The sequence below is a fragment of the Homo sapiens genome, chromosome 1, assembly GCF_000001405.40.
Source record: "Homo sapiens chromosome 1, GRCh38.p14 Primary Assembly".
Taxonomy (NCBI): domain Eukaryota; kingdom Metazoa; phylum Chordata; class Mammalia; order Primates; family Hominidae; genus Homo; species Homo sapiens.
Genome location: NC_000001.11, coordinates 46,141,079 through 46,168,053, shown reverse-complemented (window position 1 = coordinate 46,168,053; position 26,975 = coordinate 46,141,079). Strand labels below are relative to the sequence as shown.

The window sequence follows — 26,975 nt, the reverse complement described above, 5'->3', positions numbered from 1 at the left end:
CTCCCAAGTAGCTGAGGTTACAAGCATGCGCCACCACACACAGCTAATTTTGGTATTTTTAGTAGAGACAGGGTTTCACCATGTTGGCCAGGCTGGTCTCAAACTCCTGATTTCAAGTGATCTGCTGTCCTCAGCCTCCCAAAGTGCTGGGATTACAGGCATGAGTCACTGCACCCGGCCACAGGTAGTTTTTAAATTGGGCTTAAAGAATGGGCAAAATTTTAGCTAATGCAAAGGGGAAAGAACTTTCTTGATTGAGAAACAGCGTGAGTGGAAGCCCAGAGCGGGCACTGATTGGCCGTGTGAGATGACTGAAGGGCAGCAGTATAGCCAGGGCCAGGACTTGAGGTCAGGATGCCTGTGCTCTGTGAGCACACAGTAGTCACCAAGGTGCAGGCCTCAGGGATATGAGGACCCCAGAAGGAGCAGGTAGGGGGAACCTGGTGAGACTACAGCTGGGAGATTCTTAACAGTAGAGGTGGGGGCTGTTATACTCACCACCTCCAGGCTGGCAGTTTCCTTTAATCCAAGACACACATACACACAAAGCCTTTACCCTTATCTCCCTCCACGAGAACCCAGGCCCACCTCGAGATCTGGCCTAGAGGAGGAGGCTGCTCCTCACCTAGCTAGCTGCGCCTCCACCCAGGTTTCAAGGCCAGGGTGCACACCCCCTCCTTGCAGTAGCTTCCTCCCCACTGCCCCATTTCCCATCCCCCCACACCCTCGTCTCTGGACCAGGAAGGGATGGGGACATCCAGAGCTTCGGAGCTTTGGCAGCAGCTAGCCTTCTCGCGGCTGCTGTGATGCAAATCCGCTCCGGATTTATTCGCGGGGCGTTCTTTCCGTAAAGCGAGGCGCACCCGGCGCCAGCGCTTGGCTGGAAGTGCCTTTCCTGGCCCTGACCCAAGGTCGCCAGGGCCCAGAATTGGGGGTGCCTTCCCCGCTAGAGTCCCGCAGCTAGGGTCCTGGGCGCGCGGGTGGGAGCGAAGCAGGTAGTCGCGGGGTGGGGCTATAATTAACCGCGCCGGGCGCGGAGTCAGGAAAAGGAAGCCAAGATCTTGAAGGACCTCCTGAGCCTGGTTGAACGCAGCTAGAAGTGCGGGGTCTGGGGAGCTCCTTAAACAGGCTGGACCCTGGTCTCGAGGTCTGAGCCTGGGTTTTGGTAAAGAAAATTTGAAGGTTTGAGGCTGGCAAGCATGTTTAAGGTTGGGGGCGTGGGGTGGAGGATGTAGAATCCACGTCCCCTATCCGGAAAGCGGCTCCATTGTCTTGCTTGTCCCTGTCTAAACGCAGTTTGGACACGACTAGCGAATTCGACCGATTACTGTTCTCATCCTCGAGGTACCCTCGCAAGGAAGCGAAGTGGGCTCACTAGCAGTTACTACTCAAGGGCCTGACAGCCTGAAGCTTCTGGGGACCGGAAGGAGGGGTGGGGGAAGGGCATGCCGAACTAGGGGTGTGCTGTGTACTTCCAGAGGCTCCAGCTTCAGAAAAGAGAACTGCAGTTTGTGGTGTAAAAAGCTTGTATGACCTGGCCAGGTGTGGTGGCTCACGCCTCCCAGCACTTTGGGAGGCAGAGGCGGGCAGATCACTTGAGGCCAGGAGTTGGAGAACAGCCCGGCCAACATGGTGAAACCCCGTCTCTACTAAAAATACAAAAATTAGCCAGGCATGGAGGCGCACACCTGTAATCCCAACTACTCGGGGGCTGAAGCACAAGAGTCGCTTGAACCTGGGAGGCTGAGGTTGCACTGAGCCAAGATCATGTCACTGCACTCCAGCCTGGGCGACAGAGCGAGACTCTGTCTCAGAAAAAAAAAGAAAAGAAAAGAAAAGAAAAGAAAAAAGCCTATAAGCATAGGAATAGACAGATGGTATTATTGAGTGCCTATGCATACCAGATGAAGTGTGTTCACCAAATTGACCAAAAAAAGAGTGCTTCTTATTTTTTCTTGGTACCTTCATAATAAAAGGACAGGCCGGGCACGGTGGCTCACGCCTGTAATCCCAGCACTTTGGGAGGCCGAGGCGGGCGAATCACGAGGTCAGGAGATCGAGACCATCCTGGCTAACACAGGTGAAACCCCGTCTCTACTAAAAAAAATACAAAAAATTAGCCGGGTGCGGTGGCGGGCGCCTGTAGTCCCAGCTACTCGGGAGGCTGAGGCAGGAGAATGGGTGAACCCAGGAGGCGGAGCTTACAGTGAGCCGAGATCGCGCCACTGCACTCCAACCTGGGCTACAGAGTGAGACTCAGTCTCAAAAAAAAAAAAAAAAAAAAAAAAAAAAAAAAAAAAAAGGACAAAGCAGCAGTTTAAATTAAAAATAAACAAATAAATAGACCTGGGTTTCAACACTGCTGAACCACTTACGGTTTGGCCCTGGAAAATTTGCTTCAACTTCTCCAAGCCTCAGTTTTCTTATCTGTAAAGTAAGAATAATAGGGGCCAGGCGCAGTGGCTCACGCTTGTAATCCCAGCACTTTGGGAGGCTGAGAACGGCGGATCATCTGAGGTCGGGAGTTCGAGACCAGCCTGACCAACATGGAGTAAACCCCGTCTCTACTAAAAATACAAAATTAGCCAGGCATGGTGGCACATGCCTGTAATCCCAGCTACGCAGGAGGCTGAGGCAGGAGAATCACTTGAACCTGGGAGGGGGAAGTTGTGGTGAGCCGAGATCACACCATTGCATTCCAGCCTGGGCAACAAGAGTGAAACTCCATCTCAAAAAAAAAAAAAAAAAGAAGAAGAAGAATAGAAATACCTAGGTGTTGTGAGGGTTGAGTTAAGGCATCAGAGGTGTTTGAATAGTGCTCCCTAAATGGCAGCAATAAGAACACATAGCCTAGTTTGGGGGTATGTGTGGCAAACTGGGGAGCAAAAAGTCTTCTGGAAGAGTAGAAATCTGAGCTAAATCTCAAAATATGAGTAGGAGCTGGTCTGGGGGAAACAAAGGGAGGAAGTTACTCGGGAGACTGAGACGGGAAGATTGCTTGAGACCCGTCTGGGCAACATAGTGAGATCCTATCTCTAAAAAAAAGTAGAAAACTTAATTGGGCATAGTGATGCACCTGTAGTCCCAGCTACTTGGGAGGCTCAGGCAGGAGGATACTGTGAGCCCAGGAGTTTGAGGTTGCAACGAGATATGATCATGCCACTGCACTCCAGCCTGGAACACACAGTGAGAACCCCATCTCAAAAAAAGGGATGGGGGAGTGGGGAGGAAGAGAAGGATGTTAATGACAGAGGGAATAGCATAAGCAAAACCAGGTAGGTAAGAGCCAGGACAGAAAATCTGGGGAAACTACAGGTGTAAGACAGGAAGTAGAAAGAGACGAGGTTAGAAAGGTAAGCAGGGACCAGACTGGGGCAAGGTGGGGGGCTTGGAGTTATTGAGGCCAGTTTTTTTTGTTGTTGTTGAGACGGAGTTTCGCTCTTGTTGCCCAGGCTGTAGTGCAATGGCGCAATCTCGGCTCACTGCAATCTCCGCCTCCCGGGTTCAAGCGATTCTCCTGTTGAAGCTGGTTTTTATCCTGAGAGCCCTTGAGGGGTTTTCAGCAGAAGCAGGAGATAAGCTCCCTGTGGGGCAGTGGGGAGTCAAGGAGACCTGTGAAGAGGAGGCTGTGGTAATGCCTCAGGGGAGAGGGATCGTGGTATGAACCACAGTGTTGGCCCTGGGATGGAAAGAAATGGATGGAGCTGAGAGGTAAAAGTGACAGGTCTTGGTGATGAATTGAATGGGAATTGAGTGAGAGGGAGGTATGAGGATGATATCCTAATTTCCAGCTTGGGTCCTGGGTGGTGCTATTCACTGAGACAGGGAGCAGGAAGAATAACATATTTGGCAGGAGGCTTGAGTTCAGTTTTGGACATGCCTATGACCACACCCCTAGATAGATCCTCAATAATTGGAGTCCTGTAATCCTCCTACCTGTTAACTACTCTGTCCAGAGATGGGAGAGGTATTATTCGTCAGTGCTGGTTGTTTGTTCCCTGGCTGTGGCTCACTGGAGGTCTGACTGGCAAGGCCTTAGAGGTAGGGGGTGCCCCTGCTACCACTGGGCTGGTCCTAGTGCATCTCCCTTTGTGGTCTGGTCAGCCAGGCAGTTTCTCTGGGCACAATCATGTTATATGAGCTCAAGGACTGGGTTGTCAGACTGTTCCCAAAGAGAATCCAAGGAGGGGGACAGTGCTCTGTGCTGTGGAGATTACCGTCTCTATTTTACAGCTGAGGAAACTGAGGCTCAGGAATTGAGTGGCAGAGCCAGGAGGTGAATGAAGGTCTGTGTGACGTCTTCTCACAGTACCAGTTGCCACATCATCAATGGTGACATCTGCTCTAAGAGGGCAGGGAAAGCACCAGGGCCATGGTTCCTTGGGGGAGGAATGCCATCTGGGGAGTAGTAGGGATCAGGAAGGAGACAGGGAAAGCTTCCTGGAGGTGGTACCATTTGTGTTGTCCTAGAAGCATCATCTTGTTTTCTGTCTCTCTAGCTAGTAATCATTGACAATCACTTGTTTCCTGCAGTGAGGGAGACCTTTTTGTCTGAAGGACCTCTAGGCAGAATGTGTCCTTGGACCTCAAAAAGTGGCAAGCTGGAATTCCTGCAGACAGCTCCCACAGGCAAGCCTGACATGGGGGCACTTCTACCTCAGTCTCTGGCATTGGTCAGCTGGGGCATCCCTTTTGCACTGGTACTTCACTAGCAGCTGGAAACCCAGTTGTCTATTCATTTTCATATCAGGGTCAGCACAAGTTTATGTTCTGTTCTCCAGTTTTATTTTACTTTTTAAAAAAGCATCATGTTATGAAGTGATAGATTCTGTCTAAAGAAGGACTGGCAATTATGAGAAAAACTTTCTGTGGATAATTGAGGGAAGGTTTTAAGACATAAAAGAAATGTCGCTAACCTTCATCTGTCATCCATCAAGCATTTTCCCTCAGGTGTCCAAAAGGCTGAAGCAGCCTGATGTGGTATAAAGGGGTGGCCATATTCTTCATAGGTAAGAACAGGTGACTTCCAAAATAATGTTTAAGTAATGTTTGTTCATTGTAGAAAACTTGAAAAATACAGGCAAATAAAAAGAAAAAATATATAAAGTATCCTTTAAGAAATAAACAGTGCGGTCGGGCATGGTGGCTCGTGCCTGTAATCCCAGCACTTTGGAAAGCTGAGGTGGGTGGATCACTTGAGGTCAAGAGTTTGAGACCAGCTTAACTAACATGGTGAAACCTCATCTCTACTAAAAATACAAAATATTAGCCGGGTGTGGTGGTGCACGCCTGTAATCCCAGGTACTTCGGAGGCTGAGGCAGGAGAATCACTTGAACCTCGGAGGTGGAAGTCGCAGTGAGTCGAGATTGTGTCACTGTACTCCAGCCTGGGCGACAGAGCAAGACTCTGTCTCGGAAAAATAAAAATAAATAAACACTGCTCTAATTTTTTATATATGGAAATCAGAGTATCATGTATTTTTAAATTTTGGGGTATATGTGGTTTTCTTTTACATTATTAATATTATACCACATAGACAGTTTTGTATCTCGCTTTAATTTAATTAATTAATTTATTTATTTGAGATGGAGTCTCACTCTGTCACCCAGGCTGGAGTGCAGTGGGACGATCTCGGTTCACTGCAACCTCTGCTTCCTGGGCTCAAGTGATCCTCCTGAGTAGCTGGAACTACAGGCACACACCGTCACTCCCAGCTAATTTTTATATTTTTTTGTAGAGATGGGGTTTTGCCATGTTGTCCAGGCTGGTCTCTAACTCCTGGGCTCAAGTGGTCCCCCACCTGGGCCTCCCAAAGTGCTGGGATTACAGGCATGAGCCACCCCACTCAAGCCACCATGCTTAGCCTATTTTACCAAACTCTTACCCTTAGACGTATAAATTGTTTCTAATTTTTTGCTATTCTAAAAATACTATGAAGAAAATCTTTTTTTTTTTTTTTTTGAGACGGAGTCTCACTCTGTCGCCCAGGCTGGAGTGCGGTGGCGCGATCTCGGCTCACTGCAAGCTCCGCCTCCCGGGTTCACACCATTCTCCTGCCTCAGCCTCCCAAGCAGCTGGGACTACAGGTGCCCGCCACCACGCCCAGCTAATTTTTTGTATTTTTAGTAGAGACAGGGTTTCACCATGTTAGCCAGGATGGTCTCGATCTCCTGACCTCGTGATCCGCCCACCTTGGCCTCCCAAAATGCTGGGATTACAGGCTTGAGCCACCGTGCCTGGCCTGAAGAAAATCTTTATGCATGAATCTTTGTTGATATTTTGGCTTACATTCTTTCCTTCTTTTTCTGAAATTGGGTCTTGTTCTGTTGCCCAGACAGGAGTGCAGTGGCTATTCACAGGTGAAGTCATAGCACATTATAGCCTCAAACTCCTGGGCTCCAGTGATATTCCTGGCTCAGCCTCCCAAGTAGCTGGGACTATAGGTGCATGCCACCATGCCTGGCTTGGATTATTTTCTTACAATTTTTTCTGGAAGTGAAATTACTGGATCAGAGGATCAAAATATTTTTAAGGATCTTGACATATATTGCCAAAATGCTTTCCAGAAAGGTTGTGCCAATTACATGCCATCACCCTGATATTAATGTACCTGTTTTATGACATAGCACTGAGTATTAACATTTTAAAAATCCTTGGCTGGGTGCAGTGGCTCATGCCTGTAATCTCAGCACTTTGGGAGGCCAAGGCAAGAGGATCACTTGAGGCCAGGAGTTTGAGACCAGCCTAGGCAACATAGTGAGACATTGTCTCTACAAAAAAAAAAAAAAAATTAGCTAGGTATGGTGGGACATGCCTGCAGTCCCAGCTACTAAGGGAGGCTGAGGTTGGGGGATCATTTGAGCCCAGGAGTTCAAGGCTGCAGTGAGCTATGATTGTGCCACTGTACTCTGAGTGACAGAGTGAGACCCTGACAAAAAAAAAATCCTTGCAAATTTGATAAGTGAATCATTACTTTTTGGGTGTTTAGTAGTTTCTTGGAGGACCAAGAGGCATAGTTTCATCAGGTCAATGATGTGGTCCAATCTGACTGGTGAATTCCTCTACTGATCAGACTATCTCCTTAACTACATTGATGCGGTTTGGCCATTATTGTTTTTTACACTCCTGGGAGTCTCTCCTCCTTTTGGTTACGGTCTCCCCATTTTCCTTTGGGGAACACTCCTCCCCATCTTGGTCCATGTGTTCCAACTGGGCCTAGTCCACACCTGAATTCCAGGGATGGGCACTGAAATCCTATCTTGGCCAATCATGACAAAAATTGGTTTAGTGATGGGCATTTCACCCAAGTGGGGCAATGAGTGCCTTTTGCTGGAATAAATGGGACAGACGCCCTCTCTCCTATTACGGGATTAAGGATAGAGGACTGAAGCTGAAAAATGTAGTTCTGGAGATGGCTGTTGGTCATCTTTGCCATTCAAGGGGACAGCCTATACTTGAGATGGAAGTCAACATTAGTTAAGAGATGCCAAGAAATGGAGAAGACACATACCTGAAGATTTTTTTGAGCTCCTGGGTTCAGCTGCCTGGGTTTTCTGTTAATGAGGCAACAAATCCTCCCTTTTAAAAAGACAGTTTGAGCTAGGTTTCTATTATATGCAACTGAAAAAGTCCTGTGGTTTTGCATGGTGTTCAGAAAAGGCAAATGTGCCTAATTTGTTACAGAATCGTAGGTTCTGAAAGTTGAAGAATCTTCACCATCTTCTTCTTCCATGTTTTATACACAGACCTACATGTATTTTAGTTAGATATCAGTCCAGTCTTTGCTTGCTTAAATCCAAGGATGGAGTACTCACTGTCTTAAGAGGTCATCTGTCCCATCACTGGAGAGTCAGTGCTGAAGGAGAGATTTTTGGTTTTTGTTTTCTCATAAACTGGAAGAACTAAATAAATTATCCCCATGCCTGAAAATAAGACAAAGGATAAGAATAACCTAATCTGATGAACCAACTATTTTGGACAAATCATTGGCTGTGCAAAAGGAGAGGCTAAAGAACTAAGTTTAGGGACAGAACAGAGCTACATGATTTGAATAAAAAAATGAGGTTTTTGTTTGCTTGTGTGTTTTTGCTTTTGAGAATCTGGGAGTCAGGAAGAGAGGGCTGGAGAGTAAAAGAGGAGGAAAAGGAAAGTAAAAAACAACACGGCATAGCAGAAAGGTAATGACAAGAATTTAGTATTAAATTTGGGTAGTTTCCTTTGGCTATGCTAAATCTCATGACAGTGAAGTTTGGTAACAAATGCCCCTGGTAAGTGATTTGTTTTTCTGTGTGTGTGTGTGTGTGTGTGTGTGTGTATGGTACTCATAGAGAGGGTTGAGAACCAGGTGCAGGACGGGGATAACACATGTGGCATGTGTGGTGATCTACAAGCTAAATTCAGATAGTGGAAGCTGAAACTTAGAGCCGGAGGTGATGATGACAATGTAATTGTCCTGGGGATTTTCTGTAATCTCTGGAAATATTTTGGGGAATCTTTGGGAATGAGGGCTTGAGCCAGTCTTATCTGGTCCTTAAGGGGCAGAGAGAGCCCCAGCTAACAACTGGATCATGCTCAAAATCCAGTCTTATTATAATATAATTTTGTCTTATATTAAGGCAAAATTAGCCTCTCTAAAGCCTTCCTATGATGAAAGGTATTTGCCTTTAAGGGCCATGGAGAGTCTGTTCCCTTTGTTCCACATGACTGTAACTTTATCATCTGACTTTGGAGTCAGAACTGAGTTTGAATCTGGGCTTTGCCCCTGACTGTGTGACCATGGAATTTATAATCTAGTGGAAAGAGACTGAAAATAAACAAATGAATAAAATAGGTAGTATTACAGATGGAGATAAGTGCTATGGAGTTAAAGCAGGTAACGGGGAGACAAAGTAGGTAAGGAGAGTGCCATGGGGATTATTTGCCATTTTATTTTATTTATTTATTTATTTATTTATTTATTTATTTTTGAGATGGAGTCTCACTTTGCTGCCCAGGCTGGAGTGCAGTGGTGCCATCTCGGCTCACTGCAACTTCTGTCTCCCAGATTCAAGCAATTCTCCTGCCTCAGCCTCCTGAGTAGCTGGGATAGCAGGCACGCGCCACCACGCCTGGCTAATTTTTTGTATTTTTAGTAGAGACGGGGTGTCACCATATTGGTTAGGCTGGTCTCGAACTCCTGACCTCGTGATCCACCCGTCTTGGCCTCCCAAAGTGCTGGGATTACAGGCGTTAGCCACTGTGCCTGGCTGTAATCTATTGTTATTAAGATGACAACTTAGTCTTCAACCTTGTCAACCATTCTTTTTTGATAATGATTTGTGATTCTCCCTCCATCCCAGTTCTGTTTCTCTGACTCATGATCTTTTTAGCTTATCTTTCTTCTGCAGTTTGTTAATCAGTCACTAAATGTACCAGCACCTGCTATATGCTACACACTAGGTTGTAGGACTTTCTTAAGATGCCTACTGTCCCATGGGGGAGAGAACAGCTGTACATTAGTAGCCACTGTATAAAGCAGAGCAGGCCCAAGAGAATAACAAGTGCAGTGCTCTAGGAGTTCAGAGGTGAGCTCATGGAAGGCTTTCTGGAAGAGGTGGCACTTGGACTGACCTCTGAGGGTGGATGAAGATGAAGTGGAGAGGGCATTCCAGGAAGAAGGAAAGGCGTGAGACGCTAGCATGCGCAAGTCACAAGTGGGGTGGGGGAAACTGCCTGATAGAGTACAAGCATGGTATGTTGGAAGGTGAGAAGTGGAGAGCAGACTCTAAAGTGAGTTAATTAAGTTAGGGAGTTTGGATGTATTCTGAGAATGATAGAGAGCCATTGGACACTTTTAGACAGGGAGTGAAATAGGCACAATTGTGTTTTCAAATGATTTCTCTCACTGCAGTGGAGGAGGACAGCTTAGATCAGCAGGAATGGGGGTGAGAAGGAGTGGGATGGGGTGACCCAGGAGGCTGTAACAGCTGTCATAGTGAGTACTGATGAAGCCTTAGGAATGGAAATGGAGAGAAGTGATGATAGAAATGCAGGGAGAAACAAAGGATGTGCTACCTGCTCCCCAAGGATTATCAGGGAGCATGTAGGAATTGCCCAAATACGATTGCAATAAAAATGTGCTGTTAACTCTTCTGAAATTGGGCTTTAGATGGTTGAGGTCAGCTATTTTCAGTCCCCTCCATAAAGGTATTATGAAATACCTTTCAGAAGGGAAGATAGAAGGGAATAACATGTGTCTGCCCTGGGCACCTTCTTGTTTTGGTGTCTGATAACTACACAAAGCTTCAGCACCCTTGGGCACTTCGGCCATCACCCAGTCCTTCAAAGACCAACTTTCTGAACAGGGATTTCTCTTGGAGTCCCTGCTGACTCTAAGCTTTCCTCCTTCACTGCAGCGAGAGGAGCTTGAATTGAGAGACGAAGAATTGAGTTTTGGCCCTGGGAATATAAGGTTTAAAGTGAATAAGGCTGATTTCCACATAATCATTCCAAAAGGCTGTTTTGACTTTCTAAATGGGCCATCCAGCTGAAGAAATTAAAAATCATCCCAAATTTGATAATTTGGGGAACTCTGGATCTGCTGAGCCACTAGTTCCTTTTAAAGAGGAAAGCCAATCTATGGTCAGGCACAGTGGCTCATGTCTTGTAATCCCAGCAGCTTGGGAGGCCGAGGTGGGCACGTTGCTTGAGCTTATGAGTTCGAGACCACCCTGGGCAACATGGCAAAACCCTGTCTCTACAAAAAATACGAAAATTAGCTGGCGTGGTGGTATGTGCCTGTAGTCCCAGCTACTTGGGTGGCTGAGGTGGGAGGATGGCTTGAGCCCAGGAGGCAGAAGTTTCAGTGAGCTGAGGTTACACCACTGCACTCCAGCCTAGGCGATAGAGTCAGACCTTGCCTAAAATAAATAGGAAAGCCAATCCAAACCTCAGGCCCTGGGATTTATGATTCTAGTTGCCTGAATCCATAGCAGCAACGTCAGGAGGATTGAGAGGCTTTGGCCTTGAACATAGGTGACTGTTCCATCACTTCCTGTGTAATTTTCCTATTGACAGATAGAAGGAGTCCTGTGGGCAGACTTTGGAGTGGAGGGAGTTGCAGGGAGTTGAGGATCAGGAGACAAATATCATAATAGCCCAGCTGAGCATTTTTTTAGCTTCAAGTGTTTTGTTCACATTAGCTAATTAACTGACAGTTTGTCCAAGTGGAGTTGAGGCATGGTAGGAGATGGGAACTCATGGCCGATCATGCTTCCAGGGTCTGGAGGGAACTGATAACGTGACTGCAGTACCAGGGCCAGAGTGTGGGTTTGGACAGCTAATGGACAGAAGCTAATTGACAGGCGCTTGGGCCTGTGTGCATGATGGTCAGCTGGTTTGTCCACAACAGTGTGATAAATGCCCCATTCAGTCCAGGGGCAGTTGTGGCTCAGAGAGACCCGGTCAGGCTCTGTTATTGATCTGATAACAAGTGCATGGGGTATTAGCTACTTCACCACAGATGTCTTCTCTGGATAACTGTCTCTGTGTCCAGGAGACTGAATGAGATTCTTCATGGTCAGAAATGTCACATACCTTTTTTTTTTTTTTTTTTTGAGACAGAGTCTCACTCTGTTGCCCAGGCTGGAGTACAGTGGCACGATCTTGGCTCACTGGAACCTCCGTCTCCAGGGTTCAAACGATTCTCCTGTCTGCCTCTGGGAGTAGCTGGGATTACAGGTGTGCACCACCATGCTCGGCTAATTTTTGTATTTTTAGTAGAGACGGGGTTTCACCATGTTGGCCAGGCTGACAATTTTTTTTTTAAACAGGAAATTTTTGCATCAAAACCCAGCCAGCAATGAATTCCTATTATTCACTGTCTATGTTCTATGAGAAAAACCAGGAAGAACATGCACATTTATAGAAATGTGTATGCCAGCACAGCTCATAATAACTCAGTGTAGGCATCTATAGTTTCACATTTTAAGATACACGTTTTACAACTTATATAAGTAAATTTTACTCTTTTTCATGTACATTACTATTACTAAACCAGGGGTCGACAAACTTTTACTGTAAAGAGCCAGATAGTAAATATCTTAGGCCTTGTGGACATACAGTTTCTGTTATAAATACTCAGATCTGCCAGGCCTCCACAGACAATACGTAAATGAATGAGTATGACTTTATTTATGGATACCGAAATCTGAATTTATAATTTTCACAAGATATTATGCTTCTTGAGATTTTTTCCCAATCGTTAAAAAATGTAGATGTACCCATAACAATTAAAATTTTTTAAAAAAATTAGGCTGGGCATGGTGGCTCACACCTGTAATCTCAGCACTTTGGGAGGCCAAGGTGGGCAGATAGCTTGAGCCAAGGAGTTTAGGACCAGCCTGGGCAACTTGACAAAACCCCATCTCTACAAAAACAAACAAACAAAAAATATAAAAATTAGCTGGGTGTGCTGGCACGTGCCTGTAGTCACAGCTGCTCAGGAGGCTGAGGTGGGAGGATCACCTGAGCTTTGGTAGATTGAGGCTGCATTGAGCTGAGATTGTGCCACTGCATTCCAGCCTGGGTGACAGAGTGAGATCTTGTCTCAAAAAAAAAAAGGAAAAAAAGAAAAAGGAAACAAAACTTGTGGAGCAGCATTCTAGGCACTGGCTATACAGAGATGTAAACCATATATCTGACTCCGCAGAGTTTCCTGTTTTTTGTTTTTTTTTTTCTTTTTTGTTGTTGTTGAGACAGGGTCTCCTCTGTCATCTAGGCTGGAGTGCATAGTATGATGATCATGGCTCACTGTAGCCTTGAATGCCTGGGCTCAAGTGATCCTCCTACCTCAGCTTCTGGAGTAGGCGGGACCACAGGTGCATGGCACCACCCACAGCTAATTTTTTGTATTTTTTGTAGAGATGGGGTTTCGCCATGTTACCCAGGCTGGTCTTCAACTCCTGGGTTCAAGTGATTCTCCCACCTTGGCCTCCCAAATTGCAAGGATTTCAGGTAGGAGCCACTGTGCCTGGGCAGAATTTACTTTCTAGATCAAGATATAGGCATTGAACAAAAAACATAAGTAAAGTTATTTCAGATTGTGATACATCCTAGTAAGACATTAAAATAGGAATAAAAGTTGATATGGAGAGGGCTTCTTTGGCTAGCACTGTGAGGGAAGGTCATTTTGAGGAGGTGAAATTTGAGCTGAGACCTGAATGAAGAGAAGGAGACAGTTATAGTGAAGATCTGGGGGAAAGAACATTCTAGGTAGAGGGAGAGCAGGTACCTATAAAGAACCTGAGGCCTATCAAATCCTGACAGATAAAAGGCTGAAGCAGATGTGAATGAGTGGTTGTGTGTTGGGAGGGTGAGGGTTAAAAGGAGATGAGGTGAGAGACAGGGGAGCTTCAAAATGAGGCCTCCACTTATCTCTATTCCTCATTTCCTCAGTTCTGTCTCTCACACTTTAGTTCCTAGGATTCTGAACTTAACTTTTCTTTTGAGACAGGTATTGCTCTGTCACCCAGGCTGGAGTGCAGTGGCATGACTATGGCTCACTGCAGCCTTAACCTCCCAGGCTCAAGCAATCCTCCCACCTCAGCCTCCCAAGTAGCTAGGACTACAGGTGTGTGCCACCACGTCTGGTTAATTTTTTTATTTTTTTGTGGAGTTGGGGTCTCGCTGTGTTGCTAGTTCTGGTCTCGAACTGCTGGGCTCAAGCAATCTGCCTGCCTCAGCCTCCCAAAGTGCTGGGATTACAGGCGTGCACCACCATGCTCAACAGGATTCTGAACTTTTCTGTTCTCCAAACAAGCTGTTCTTTTTTATATTCATGAGTTTTGCATAGGCCTCAAGCTGGAATGCATGGCTGTAACCACTGTCTCCTTCTTCCTTTCAGCAATAGAATTTCCCCATGTTTTAACAGGGCCTATGTTTAGAGCTTCCTACCTAACCTGAACTACCTGCTTATTTCTGGACTGTTACATGACAAGAAAACAAACTTCTGTCTTGTTTGACACACTGTACATGCAGTGTCTTTATTATGTGACTTACCCTTTACTCTCACTTTCGCTTATCTGCCTAGTGAATTCTTACTTATCCTTCTAGATCAAGTCCTAAGTACTGCTTTTCCTATCCTCTCCAGGAAAAGTTATCTGATCCTGACAGATGATTTTCTTTATTGCCTCATGGTACTTTGTATGTCTATCATAGTATTCCACTAGTTAAGCAGCACTGACTAGGAGTCTAAGTCATGCACTGTGTGGTAAATAAGGAGTTTGTGGTTTAGAGGGAAAGACAGACATGTGGCAAATAATTGTGAATGGTGATAGTACACTCTCTGTGAGAAGTGAGTTGGGGGGAGTACAGACATCCTTCATTTTTCCTTTCTCCTCAATTCCCACATCCGATTCTAACAAGATGAAAAAGTCTGTATTGCCCAGATCTTGGGAAAAACATTGGGAAAGAGAGGAGGAAGTCAGGTAGTATCAGGACAGCAGTTACAAGTCACACCAGCCTTAAGGAGGCAGATTTCAGCCCCATCAGCAGAGGTGGCAGCAGCCAGGACAGAAAACATTGTCCCCGCTGGAAGCCAAAATAGGTTGCTGCTTGTGGTCACTATTGGAGATGCAGCAAGCTCCTGGGAGCCATCTGCTATAGAAGCTGAACAAGTAGTATGCTGGCAAGATGACTAGCCATTCAAGAACTTATTCTCAACTCAAGAGGCCCTGGAGAAACTCTTTAAAATGGCTGAAGGACACTTTGAGGTAGGGTTAATTCCTACAAGTAGGAAAGTGGGTGCTCATCCTAGAGTAAGTTGGGTAAAAAAACTTATTAAATAATATCTAATTTTGTCTTTACAGGCAAATGAGGCTGAGGATATATGGATTATATTTTGAATTATTTTGAATCTTATTGAATTTTATATCCATTCCATGGACTCATCATTACCTCTAGAAATAAAGCCAATTGATATTTAGGGCAAGGATGAAGATAACATTGGAAAATTTGCACGTGGAGGTAGATATAGACTTCCAGAAGCCTCTAAGAATTGTGAGATTCAAAATAACTGTGAAAAAATAAACACACATAAAATTGAAAAGACCGTGCAAATTCTCTTAAGTTCCTGAACAAATAAAGAGAGCCCAGCAAGGTCTTCAGGAGGGGGAAAACACAGCCTTACTTAAGTTTGCTAAAGATGTTAATCAGGCTGGGCGCGGTGGCTCATGCCTGTAATCCCAGCACTGGGGAGGCCGAGGAGGGCAGATCACGAGGTCAGGAGATCGAGACCATCCTGACTAACACGGTGAAACCCCATCTCCACTAAAAATCCAAAAAAATTAGCCAGGCGTGGTGGCAGGCACCTGTAGTCCCAGCTACTCGGGAGGCTGAGGCAGGAGAATGGCGTGATCCCAGGAGGCGGAGCTTGCAGTGAGCAGAGATCACGCCACTGCACTCCAGCCTGGGCGACAGAGTGAGACTCCATCTCAAAAAAAAAAAAAAAAAAAAGATGTTAATCAGCGTACAATCCAAGGGAGATACCAGGGAATGGAGTTGTTGTGTTAGATATGGTTAGACAATCTCCATAAGAAAACAACCCAATTGCCACTAAAATCGTTGGCCTAGTTATTGGGGGAGAGGTGAAGGAAAGACTATTTAGTTAATCTAGAGACTTATGAGGATCTGAAAGTTGAGGGTATTTTTAGGAAAGGTCACCCCTAGCATGGGGAAAGAGTGCTCTTGGCTGGGGTACTACTCTACTGAGATGCTGTGGGCGGTAGATACCCGATATGGAGAAGTGATGGCAGAACCTCTTAGTCTGGCAAGGGGAATTTTCAAGCCTCAGTGTTAGTTGGCTGAGTGTTGAATGCTCTGACAAAGCTAGCAGTGGGGAGGGTTTATAACCACAGGGATGTTCTGAATTTTTCTCTGTTGTATCAGAGGGTGAGAGAAAAGATACTTCTGAACCAGGACTAAAGAAACTCTTATAGAAGGCAGAGGAAACAGGAGCTAGAGATGCGAACAGCATGAATCAGGTCTCCTGTATAACAGGTGAGTTTTAGTGCTGTTCCAGGATAAGACTTTGGGGTTTTCCCAGCTGCCAAACCCAGGGTGGTCTTTTAGATTCTTCTACTTTTTGAAACTAACATGAAAAATGGAGGAGGAGAGGCAGCTCAAGCTATGGAGTAGAGAAAACTCAATCAATTGAGGTGATTGTAGATACCCAGCAAGGACTCCAATGACTACTATACATGAAGACTTCATGGGACAGATGAAAGGGCTAATGGAGGCCCTTTAGGTTTTGGGGAAAGAGATATAACCATGGACACCTCTGAGTCCCTAAAAAGCAGAACACTGGATAAGCTGGGGATGAGAAGGCTCCTGGCCAAGAAGAAATCCCAGCTATAGCATTCCTAAAGTTGAAGAGCATCAGGGAACAAGAGACCAGGAATGGGCCTAGAGCTTGATCTGTCTTTATTATTATTATTTGCAGAAATGGGGTTTCATTATGTTGCCCAGGCTGGTCTCAAACTCCTGGCCCAAGTGACCCTCCCACCTTGGCCTCTCAAAGTATTGGGATTACAGATGTGAACCACTGTGCCTGGCTGGGGTTTAACTGTCTTCAACCTGCAAAAGAGGAGGCCTCTGCCAGGCAAAGATCCCATCTTTTTCTTGTGGAGGGATAATCCTAGAAAGAGGGGCAGCCATAAAAGCACCAACTCTCAAGAGGTGCTTAATGACAAATTCACAAGTAGCAAGCACCCAAGCCACCTCCCATCACAAAAATGGAATGGATCAGATGTGGTTTTGGGACAAATTGTCAGGCTTGAGTTTCCTATAGGACTTGTGGAGATGGGGGAAGAGATGAAAAATCTGTGGGTATATGTTGGCAATGTTCAGGAGAGGTAGGTACATTGGTGGGGATCAAGTCTAGACTCTTTAAAAAATGTTTACCAGCAGCCGAGCACAGTTGCTCACGCCTGTAACTTCAGCACTTTGGGAGGCCAAGGAGGGTGGATCACCTGAGGTCAGGAGTTCGAGACCAGCCTGACCAACATAGTGAAACCTCGACTCTACTAAAATACAAAAAAAATTAGCTGGGCACAGTGGTGCATGCCTGTAATCCCAGTTACTCCTGAGGCTGAGGCAGGAGAATCGCTTGAACTCGGGAGGCGGAAGTTGCAGTGAGCCGAGATCACACCATTGCATTCCAGCCTGGGCAACAAAAACAAAACTCTGTCTCAAAAAAAAAAAAAAAAAAAAAAGAGTGTTTACCAGAAGCATGTAGGAATAGAGTATCTAGATGTTTTATCCTTATCCAGGTGTGGAAGCCACAGCAAAATAAAGGGAGGGAAGAGCCAATAATTCCCATTTTCTCTGCTTCCACTCTGGGTTCTCTAACTTAGAGTTTTAATTTGGGGGATTCCCCAAAATTCAAAAAGTAGAAAGAGAAGTTGTCATGGAAGGGCCAAACCAGGAGTAGTTTTCTCTCTCCAAGAATGGGGCTTAGTATAATGGGTTTAGGGTAAGCAGCATAAGTTAAAGTACGGGAAACCCAGACTCTTTAGAAAATGGTACAGAAAGTCTGTGTTATCTTAGATGGATGATTTTTGAAATCACCTCAAAGACCTACTGATTAACTACATTAACTCTGGATTCCATATCCTATATATTCCATTTAGTGATAGTGAAGGGAAAAAATCAGGTAAGATCTGAGTTTGTGTGGATTTCCTGGCTCTCAACAGACATTCCACAATAGCCCAGCACACTGTGTTCCACATACAGGATAGCTTAGCCACTTCCTATGGAGTGAGTTGTTTCCAGCAATGAGCGTCAGAGAAGGTATTATAATATCCCTACAACTGCATAAGAGGACATAGACGGGGGATTTTGTCTGTCTTGTATAGGTCATCAATATGAAGGGATGGGGGTTTCAGGAATCCATGTTGTTACCAGAAAGGGGTTCTGATCCAGACCCCAAAAGGGGGTTCTTGGATTTCGTGCAAACAGCTACTGATTAATGGCATTATCTTTGGATAACAGAAGCTGTCTTACTTTATTAAGAAAGTAAAGGGATAAAAGAATGGCTACTCCATAGGCAGAGCAGTAGTATGTGCTGCTTGACTGAGTATACTTTTGGTTATTTCTTGATTATATGCTAAATAAGGAGTGGATTATTCTTGAGTTTACACGGATTTCCTGGAAATCTTCCTTTTAGAACATATAAGGTAACTTCTTGGCCGGGTGCGGAGGCTTAGGCCTGTAATCCCAGCATTTTGGGAGGCTGAGGCAGGTGGATCCCTTGACGTCAGGAGTTTGAGATCAGCCTGGCCAACTTGGCGAAATCCCGCCTCTGCTAAAAGTACAAAAAATAGCTGGGTGTGGTGGTGCATGCCTGTAGTCCCAGTTACTTGGGAGGCTGAGGCAAGAGAATCGCTTAGACCCAGCAGGCTGCAGTGAGCTGAGATCGCGCCACTGCACTCCAGCCTGGGTGACAAAGCAAGACTCAGTCTCAAACAGAAACAAAAACAAAAACAAAAACCACACACACACAAAGAACATATAGAGTAACTTCTGGATGTTGCCATGGTATTTATAAACTGTTATGGCACTGCTGGGAGTGTCTTTTTTTTTTTTTTTTTTTTTTGAGACAGAGTCTTGCTCTGTCGCCCAGGCTGGAGTGCAGTGGCACAATCTCGGCTTACTGCAACCTCTACCTCCTGGGTTCAAGCAATTCTCCCGCCTCAGCCTCCCAAGTATTTGGGATTACAGGCACCTGCTATCACGCTCGGCTAATTTTTGTATTTTTGTAAAGATGGGGTTTCACTATGTTGCCCAGGCTGGTCTTCAACTCCTGACCTCAGGTGATCCACCTGCCTCAGCCTCCCAAAGTGCTGGGATTACAGGCGTGAGCCACTTCCGCCCAGCCGGGAGTATCTTTTAGCATGCTAATACATTATAATTAGCATAAAATGAGCAGTGAGGGACCAGAGGTCATTTTCATAGCCATCTTGGTTTTGATGGGTTTTGGCCAGCTTCTTTACTGCATCCTGTTTTATCAGTGGAGTCTTTGTGACCTGTGTCTTGTGCTGCCCTCCTGTCTCATTCTATGACTAAGAATCCCCTCCTGGGGATGCAGCCCAGCAGGTCTCAGCCTAATTTCACCCAGCCCTTATTTAAGATGGAGTTGATCTGGTTTCAATGCCTAAAGGTTGATGGAGAAAGTCATTTATCATTTGAATTTATCTGGAGGCATTTTTTTTTCATTTATATATTCATTCTCTCTTCATGTCTCTCTCTCTCTCTCTCTCTCTCTCTCTCTCTCCAAAATCTTGGAGAAGCACGAACAATGGTTCTTCAAGAGTAGTAAATATGTTTTGTTCTGCTCAGATTTTATTTGAGAAATGCTCTTCTCCAATTCTCAGTCTCTGTAGCTTGAGTGCAACTGATCCCTGCACTCTGCTTCCAAGGGTGGCTACATGACCTAGGCCTGGCCAATTAAAACATTCCACCTAACTGGACTCTGATTGGTTCAGGAGTAAGCATGTGATCCAAGCTAGGCTGATGAGATTCAACTCCAGAACTTCGCAGTTATATGGAGAAACTTGCACTCTGCTGGAAAGAGTTGCTAGTTGGATGCAATGTAACCCTGGAACTGCCTGACAGGATCCTTGTGACCTCTTGGGGAAACAACAGAGGGAAGGAGAACTGGGAACGAGTCTGGTTCTTGCTAACATTGTTTGAGCACCTCCACTCAGCTGTTCCTGAAGTGAGACTACCCCTTTATTTGTCTTAAGCTAGTTTTCTGTCACTTGCAACTGAAAAGTCATGCTAATACCACAGTGATACTGGACCATATGGAAGACTCGAGCCTGAAGTTGTCCCTTTACAGCTTCAGTAAATTTGCTTGATCTCAGTGAAAGGTGTAATATCACCAAGTGGGTAAGCACAGGCCATGAGAAGACCTCCATTATTAACACTGGTCCCTCTCCATCACTGAAAATTAGAAGCATTCATAATGTTTACGAAAAACTCTTCCAAGATTGCAAAATTCTTTAGTGTTTTAACTTGGCATTATCAGTGCAGATCCAGGGCACCAATTTAGAAGTCAGCTTAAAATCCAGAAGGAAGTCAATTTTCTTACTCCCTTTTTTTTTGAGAGTTCAATGCCTTGGTAGTTTTGGTGAGTTACTTGGTTGAAGCTTCTCCTAGCAATTGCTGACCCACATGGATGTTTGGAAGGCATCATGTTAGAAAAGTGCGGAAGAGCGAAAATCTGTTGTTTTCATTAGCACAAATCTGTCTGATAGTGAGGTGCAACACTATTTAAAAAAACAGAGTTCTGGCTGGGCATGGTGGCTCACGCCTGTAATCTCAGCACTTTGGGAGGCCAAGGTGGGCGGATCACGAGGTCAGGAGATCGAGATCGAGACCGTCCCGGCTAACACAGTGAAACTCCGTCTCTACTAAAAATACAAAAAAAATTAGCCAGGCGTGGTGGTGGGCGCCTGTAGTCCCAGCTACTCGGGAGGCTGAGGCAGGAGAATGGCGTGCACTCGGGAGGCAGAGCTTGTAGTGAGCCGAGATCGCACCACTGCGCTCCAGCCTGGTGACAGAGCGAGACTCCGTCTCAAAACAACAATAACAACAAAAACAGAGTTCCTGGCCGGGCGTGGTGGCTCACGCCTGTAATCCCAGCATTTTGGGAAGCTGAGGCAGGTGGATCACTTGAGGTCAGGAGTTCAAGACCAGCCTGGCCAACATTGGTGAAACCCAGTCTCTACTAAAAATACAAAAATTAGCTGGGCCTTGTGGCAGGCACCTGTAGTCCCAGCTACAGGCTGAGGCAGGAGAATCGCTTGAACCTTGGAGCAGGGGGTTGCAGTGAGCCGAGATCATGTCAATGCACTCCAAAGTCTGGGCGACAGAGCGTGATTCCATCTCAAAAAATAAATAAAATAAAATAAAAAACAGAGTTCCTGCTGCAAAAGTAGGAAATCACAGGTAAGTTCTGAGAAAGCAGGAGTGTCAGGTGCTAGATTACCCTCCCTCCAGTCCCTGCCCATTTGTTTCCCAGTGCTAGGCTGGTTGCTTCTAGTAGAGGCTACTATAGGTCCGTGAGGGTACAGATGTTTTCTCTTCACTGGTATACTCAGGCCACTGAGAGTGAGGCTCTGAGGCAGGTCTAGCAGGAAGCTCCTGTCTTGAATACCAGGCTTATGGTGGCATTTGACTGTGTGGTCCATGGCAGATCATTACTACCCCAACCATGAGTATAGAATTGGAGAGAGGAGAGATGGGCAGGACCAAAGCTGTGTGTGTGTGTGTGTGTGTGTGTGTGTGTGTGTGTGTGTGTGTGTGTGTGTGTGTGTGTGTGTGTGTAGAGTTGGAGGGGAGGGGGGCTGTCCCTAAAATACTCAAGGCTTCCCAAGGGAGAGAACTGGAGCCTCCTCCAAGGGAGATAGCTTCAAGACCTGATCGATGAGGTTGTAGGGAACATTTGACATTTTTGGCTGCCTAGCATCTGAACACCTTTCCCATTTTGGAGGACTTCCAAATCAGATGGGAGGCAGGGCCCTTAAACTCTGATATGATATTGAGTATGTTGCCAGAAGATGCAAGAATAAAATAAAGTATGATTTTTAGAGTTTGTGGCTGCCTATTAAGTTCAAAATCTCTAATTGGAGGTAAAATGTATAGACTGTAAGTGGGTGAGGAAAGTCACAGTGATTGACCAAAATAATTTACCACTGATAGCACAGCCCATGAAAAAAGCTGCATCCCTGCTTCTGTCACATTTGGTCAGCATTAGAGTTCACGAGGAAGCCCTCTCCCAGGTACTACTCTGGGATCTTTGGGGAGCAGAGAGAAAACTGGACAGTGGTTCAGAGGGTAAAGGGAACTTAGGATTCTTGGGCTGCAAGTAACAGAATGTAGTTGGAGTCTCCTTAAATAAATAATACATTTGTATAAGCAGCCCCGTTAGACATGAAAAAGAGGGACTCCTGCCCTGGGCCCCATGTCTAGAGGGCCCGGCTTTGGCTCTTCTCTGAGCCTACCTCTCTTCATAGGATGAGAAATCCATATGGCCAAGGGTGCTTCTCCACCCAGATAAGTATTCCGCTTATCTCACCTCCCTCTTCTCAACTATGCTTAGTATCCTGAGTCCTGGAATTCTCTGCCCAAATGGACTTTAGCCTGTTTCTAGGAACTGCATGGGCCTTTTCCCTGGATCTGTTCTCCTAAGGAGAGCATTGTCAGTATCAGCACCTTTAGAACCAAGAGGTGGTCAAGGAACAGCTATTTGTAAGGCGATTGCTATGGTTTGTATGTGGTTTATTCCCATCAAAACTCATGTTGAAAATTGATCCCCAACGTGGCAGTGTTGGGAGGTAGGGACTAGTGGGAGGTGTTTGGGTCATGGAGGAGGATGGGTCACAAATATATTAATGCCTTCCTATAGGGGTGAGTGAGGTCTTGAATTCATGGGAATAGATGAGTTAAAAGAGCCTTGTTTCCTTGGTTGCTTTCTCTTGTGTCCTCTCTCACCATGTGATCTCTGCACATGCCAGCTCCCCTTCCACTCTGCACCATGAATGGAAGCAGCATGAGGCTCTCACCAGATGTGGCTGCCCAATTTTGGACTCTTCCAGCCAACAGAATCATGAGTCAAAATAAATATCTTTTTTTTTTTTTTAAAAAGTTATCCAGCCTCAGGTATTCTGTTATAGCAACACAAAATGGACTAAGACAGGGATGGATGGAAGCAGCTTGGACATGTATACAAAGACTCCCTTGACAGTCTCACAGTGCAGGATAGAGCCAAGGGTAGGAAGAAAAAGGGGTCAGTTCTCTCCCTCCCATCTCCCCCATGTTTTGTCAGAACTCTAAGGATCTGTGAATTCTAAATTTTAACCCAGTCTTCTTCTTTTTTTTTTTTTTTTTGAGGTGGAGTTTCATTCTTGTTGCCCAGGCTGGAGTGCAATGGCGCGATCTTAGCTCACTACAACCTCCGCCTTCTGGGTTCAAGCGATTCTCCTGCCTCAGCCTCCCGAGTAGCTGGTATTACAGGCATGCGCCATCACACCTGGCTAATTTTGTATTTTTAGTAGAGATGGGGTTTCTCCATGTTGGTCAAGTTGGTCTCAAACTCCCGACCTCGGTGATCTACCCGCCTCAGCCTTCCAAAGTACTGGGATTACAGCCATGAGCCGCCGTGCCCAGCCTCAACCCAGTCTTCTAAGTTTGCATGAAGATATATTTGGCAAGATAGGAGAATTGAGTCGTTTTTTTTTTTTTTTTGAGATGGAGTCTCGGTCTGTCATCAGGCTGGAGTGCAGTGGCACGATCTTGGCTCACTGCAACCTCTACCTCCCGGGTTCAAGTGATTCTCCTGCCTCAGCCTCCTAAGTAGCTGGGACTACAGGTGCGTGCCACCATGCCCAGTTAACTTTTGTATTCTTAGTAGAGACAGGGTTTCACCACGATGGCGAGGATGGTCTCAATCTCTTGACCTTGCGATTCGCCCGCCTCGGCCTCCCAAAGTGCTGGGATTGCAGGCATGAGCCACCGCACCTGGCCGAGGATTGAGTATTTTTTATTTAATGGTTGGCCTGATTTGTAACTTTCAAGTATTTTGACATATGGTATATGGCTCTCCATTTATATTCTCATCCTGGGCCCTGCAAATGTTAGGTGTAGGCCTGACCTTAGTATAGGAACCAAGCTGGGCCTTAAGAAGCTCTATACTCAGGAAATTGATTACTGCTCGTATTCTTTCCATTCCTCACCTCTGCTCCTTTCAGAGCATTTCTTTCATCCTTCCTTGGCTTTCTGAAGACCGGCTTCCTTTGCAACTCAGCCTTCAGGGTGAACATGGCCATAATACCTCCAGAGATTGATTCCGTGTTATAGGTCCAAACCCCTGAAGAGCCTAGATCTTGTTTTGGGTACTATTTCCAAATATTTATGAAAGAAACTCTAATCAATTTAGCCTAGGCCCTACCAGCTATGGCCAGGGACACAGTCATGTACAAATTGAGAAGGGGGACATCATGGTGAACTGGCCAGAGGTACTAAAAAGTATCCACTACAATGATAGATACCAGAGACTGGGAAAGGGTGTGTGGGTGGGAGAGGGGGATGAAGGGAGGTTGGTTAACAGTGAGATAGAAAATGTAAGTTCTAATGTTCAACAGCAGAGTAGAGATGCAAGTATTATGTATTTCAAAGTAGCTAGAAGACTTTAAATGTTCCCAACACATAAAAATGATAAATACTCAAGGTGGTCAGGCATAGCAGCTCACATCCATAATCCCAGAACTTTGGGAGGCCAAAGTGGGAGGATTGCTTGAGTCCAGAAATTTGATACTGGCCTGGGCAACATGGTGAGACCCTGTCTCTAAAAAAAAAAATTTTTTTTCTTAGTTAGCTGGGCATGGTGGCATGTGCTATAGTCCCAGCTACTGGCACTGAAGAGCAGGGGTGGTGGTGGGGAGGGCAGAGGTGGGGGGATCACTTGAGCTTATGAAGTCAAGGTCGAGGCTGCAGTGAGCTGTGATTACACCACTGCACTCCAGCCTGGGCGACACAGTGAGACCCTGTCTCAAAAAACACAAAACAAAACACTCAAACCTAATGGATACACCAAATACCCTGACTTGATCATCTCACATTGTATATACTAAAAAAAATCACATGTAACCCATAAATATGTAAAGTATTCTGTATCAATTAAAAAAATAAACACAAAAAAGGTATCTACTACAATGGAGCAATTGACTGACCAGCCTGGGTCATTGATCCACTCACACCTTTAGGCCTTAACCCATTAGCAGTGATCTTGGAGCTAGCTGATCTACCCAGTGAGGTCCTGGAAATGAATGAATCACACGCAGAAGCGAAGGAGAAAAATACTACCAATGAAGGGAGAGATTCTCCACAAGAAAGGCTGTAATTTCATTATTGAGTGGCCCATTCTTTAGGGTGGAGACATGCTGGTTACCTAATCACTCATTTAGTGTGGCCTTGTCTACCTCCTAAGCATCTCTCACATCTACACAAATCTACACAGGACTCTTGATCGTTTGCCCACGTTGTTGCAACAATGTTTTCCAAGTCTTCAAAGTTTGCCCCTTCAATCCATTTTGCAATCTGATGATTCTCAAATGCAAATCTCATCACAACACTCCTCTGCTTAAAACTCCTAAACTCCCCCCATTGCTTGAGCATAAAGTACACATTCCTATCTTGACTTATAAGCCTCTTCATGCCTACCCTGTAGCTTCATCCCCACCACCCTTTACCTCCTTTAACATTAGGCCAGCCTGCAATTACTTTCTTTTTTTTTCTTTTCTTTTTTTTTTTATTTTGAGACGGAGTCTTGCTGTGTCGCCCAGGCTGGAGTGCAGTGGCGTGATCTTGGCTCACTGCAAGCTCCGCCTCCCGGGTTCACACCATTCTCCTGCCTCAGCCTCCCGAGTAGCTGGGACTACAGGCGCCCGCCACCACGCTTGGCTAATTTTTTGCATTTTTAGTAGAGACGGGGTTTCACCGTGTTAGCCAGGATGGTCTCGATCTCCTGACCTCGTGATCCACCTGCCTTGGCCTCCCAAAGTGCTGGGATTACAGGCGTGAGCCACCGCGCCCGGCCTCTGTAATTAATTTCAATGTCCTCAAAGAGCGATGTGCTCTCCTCTGGGGTTTTGTACATGTTTTCTTCCTGTCTGGCCTATATTTTCATCTGGCCCTGTCACCTAACTAGAAAAGGAACTAGCTCAGATATGATGATTTTGAAACATTTGTGTGGCATCCAGTAGGCATTTGGATAGACAGGAGAGGGGGTAGGACTGGTTTTAGGAGGCTGAAGAGGGTGCCATCCAGAGGTCAAATCTAGTGATTAGCTTTCAACTCCAGGAAAGACATGCTTCTTCAGAAAGGAAGGCAAGGAAGCAAGAATGGGTACAGGTTTACAGGCTTTTGAAGGGATGAATACAGGAAGGGAGTATTATGCCTGTTGATTTCTGTCAAGTAAAAGGAGAGGTCACATTTACTGATCTGACAGTGGAAGGTAGTCACTTGAGATGAGTAGTGAAGGTTTGGAGTATCAGAATAAGCAGATACAGAATGAGCCAAAGGAATCCCAATTATGACCAGAGACCAGCCCAGAGCTAAGTTGGTAAACTTGGTTTTCTTTACCTAAGCCCAACTACCTGGGCATAAGAGCAGAAGTAGACTGTTGTTTTGGCCTGGGATTTGGCTTTGGCTGGCTGACTCTTTTGGAAAGACAGGAGAGAGACATTTGATGACACTGGGAGAAAATGGTTAAGATTCACGTTGGGATTAGGTTTCTGGTTTCTAGGACTAGAGCTAGTCTATGACAAAGTTTTATAGGTTTGAGCACTATATTTAATGTGACTTACAGTCATTCATTGGGAAAGATGATCCTTTATTCTAAAATTATATGATCTCTACATATTGATTTCAAAATGTGTTTGAAGGCTGGACGCGGTGGCTCACGCCTGTAATCCCAGCACTTTGGGAGGCCGAGGCAGGTGGATCCCCTGAGGTCAGGAGTTCAAGACCAGCCTGGCCAAGATGGTGAAACCCCATCTCTACTAAAAATACAAAAATTAGCTGGGCGTGGTGGTGGGCGCCTGTAATCCCAGCTACTCGGGAGGCTGAGGCAATGAATTGCTTGAACCCGGGAGGCGGAAGGTTGCAGTGAGCTGAGATCATGCCACTGTACTCCAGCCTGGGTGACAGAGTGAGACTCTGTCTCAAAAATAAATAAATAAAATAAAGTAAAATAAAATGTGCTTGAAAAAAATTAAATTATGGTGGTTGTATCATTTCCTAGGGCTGCCATAATGAATTACCACAAACTGGGTAGCTTAAAACAACAGAAATCGGCCAGGTGCAGTGGCTCACGCCTGTAATCCCAGCACCTTGGGAGGCCAAGGTGGGACGACCCCTTGAGCACAGGAGTTCA

General features: G+C 45.6%; 2 protein-coding genes across 2 annotated transcripts in view, besides 1 other annotated feature; both read left to right on the top strand.

Annotated features, from left to right (window-relative positions):
* Positions 1–26,975, top strand: part of P3R3URF-PIK3R3 (P3R3URF-PIK3R3 readthrough) — a 136,349-nt gene that overhangs the window by 8,435 nt on the left and 100,939 nt on the right. The window lies entirely within an intron of this gene.
* PIK3R3 (phosphoinositide-3-kinase regulatory subunit 3) overlaps positions 1–26,975 on the top strand; it is a 134,762-nt gene that overhangs the window by 6,848 nt on the left and 100,939 nt on the right. The window lies entirely within an intron of this gene.
* Positions 972–1,041: an enhancer, noted in NCBI's record as "active region_993". NCBI's record gives its function as "activates an Ori minimal core promoter by ATAC-STARR-seq in GM12878 lymphoblastoid cells {active_cell/tissue: GM12878}" and the evidence as "EXISTENCE:reporter gene assay evidence [ECO:0000049][PMID:35858748]".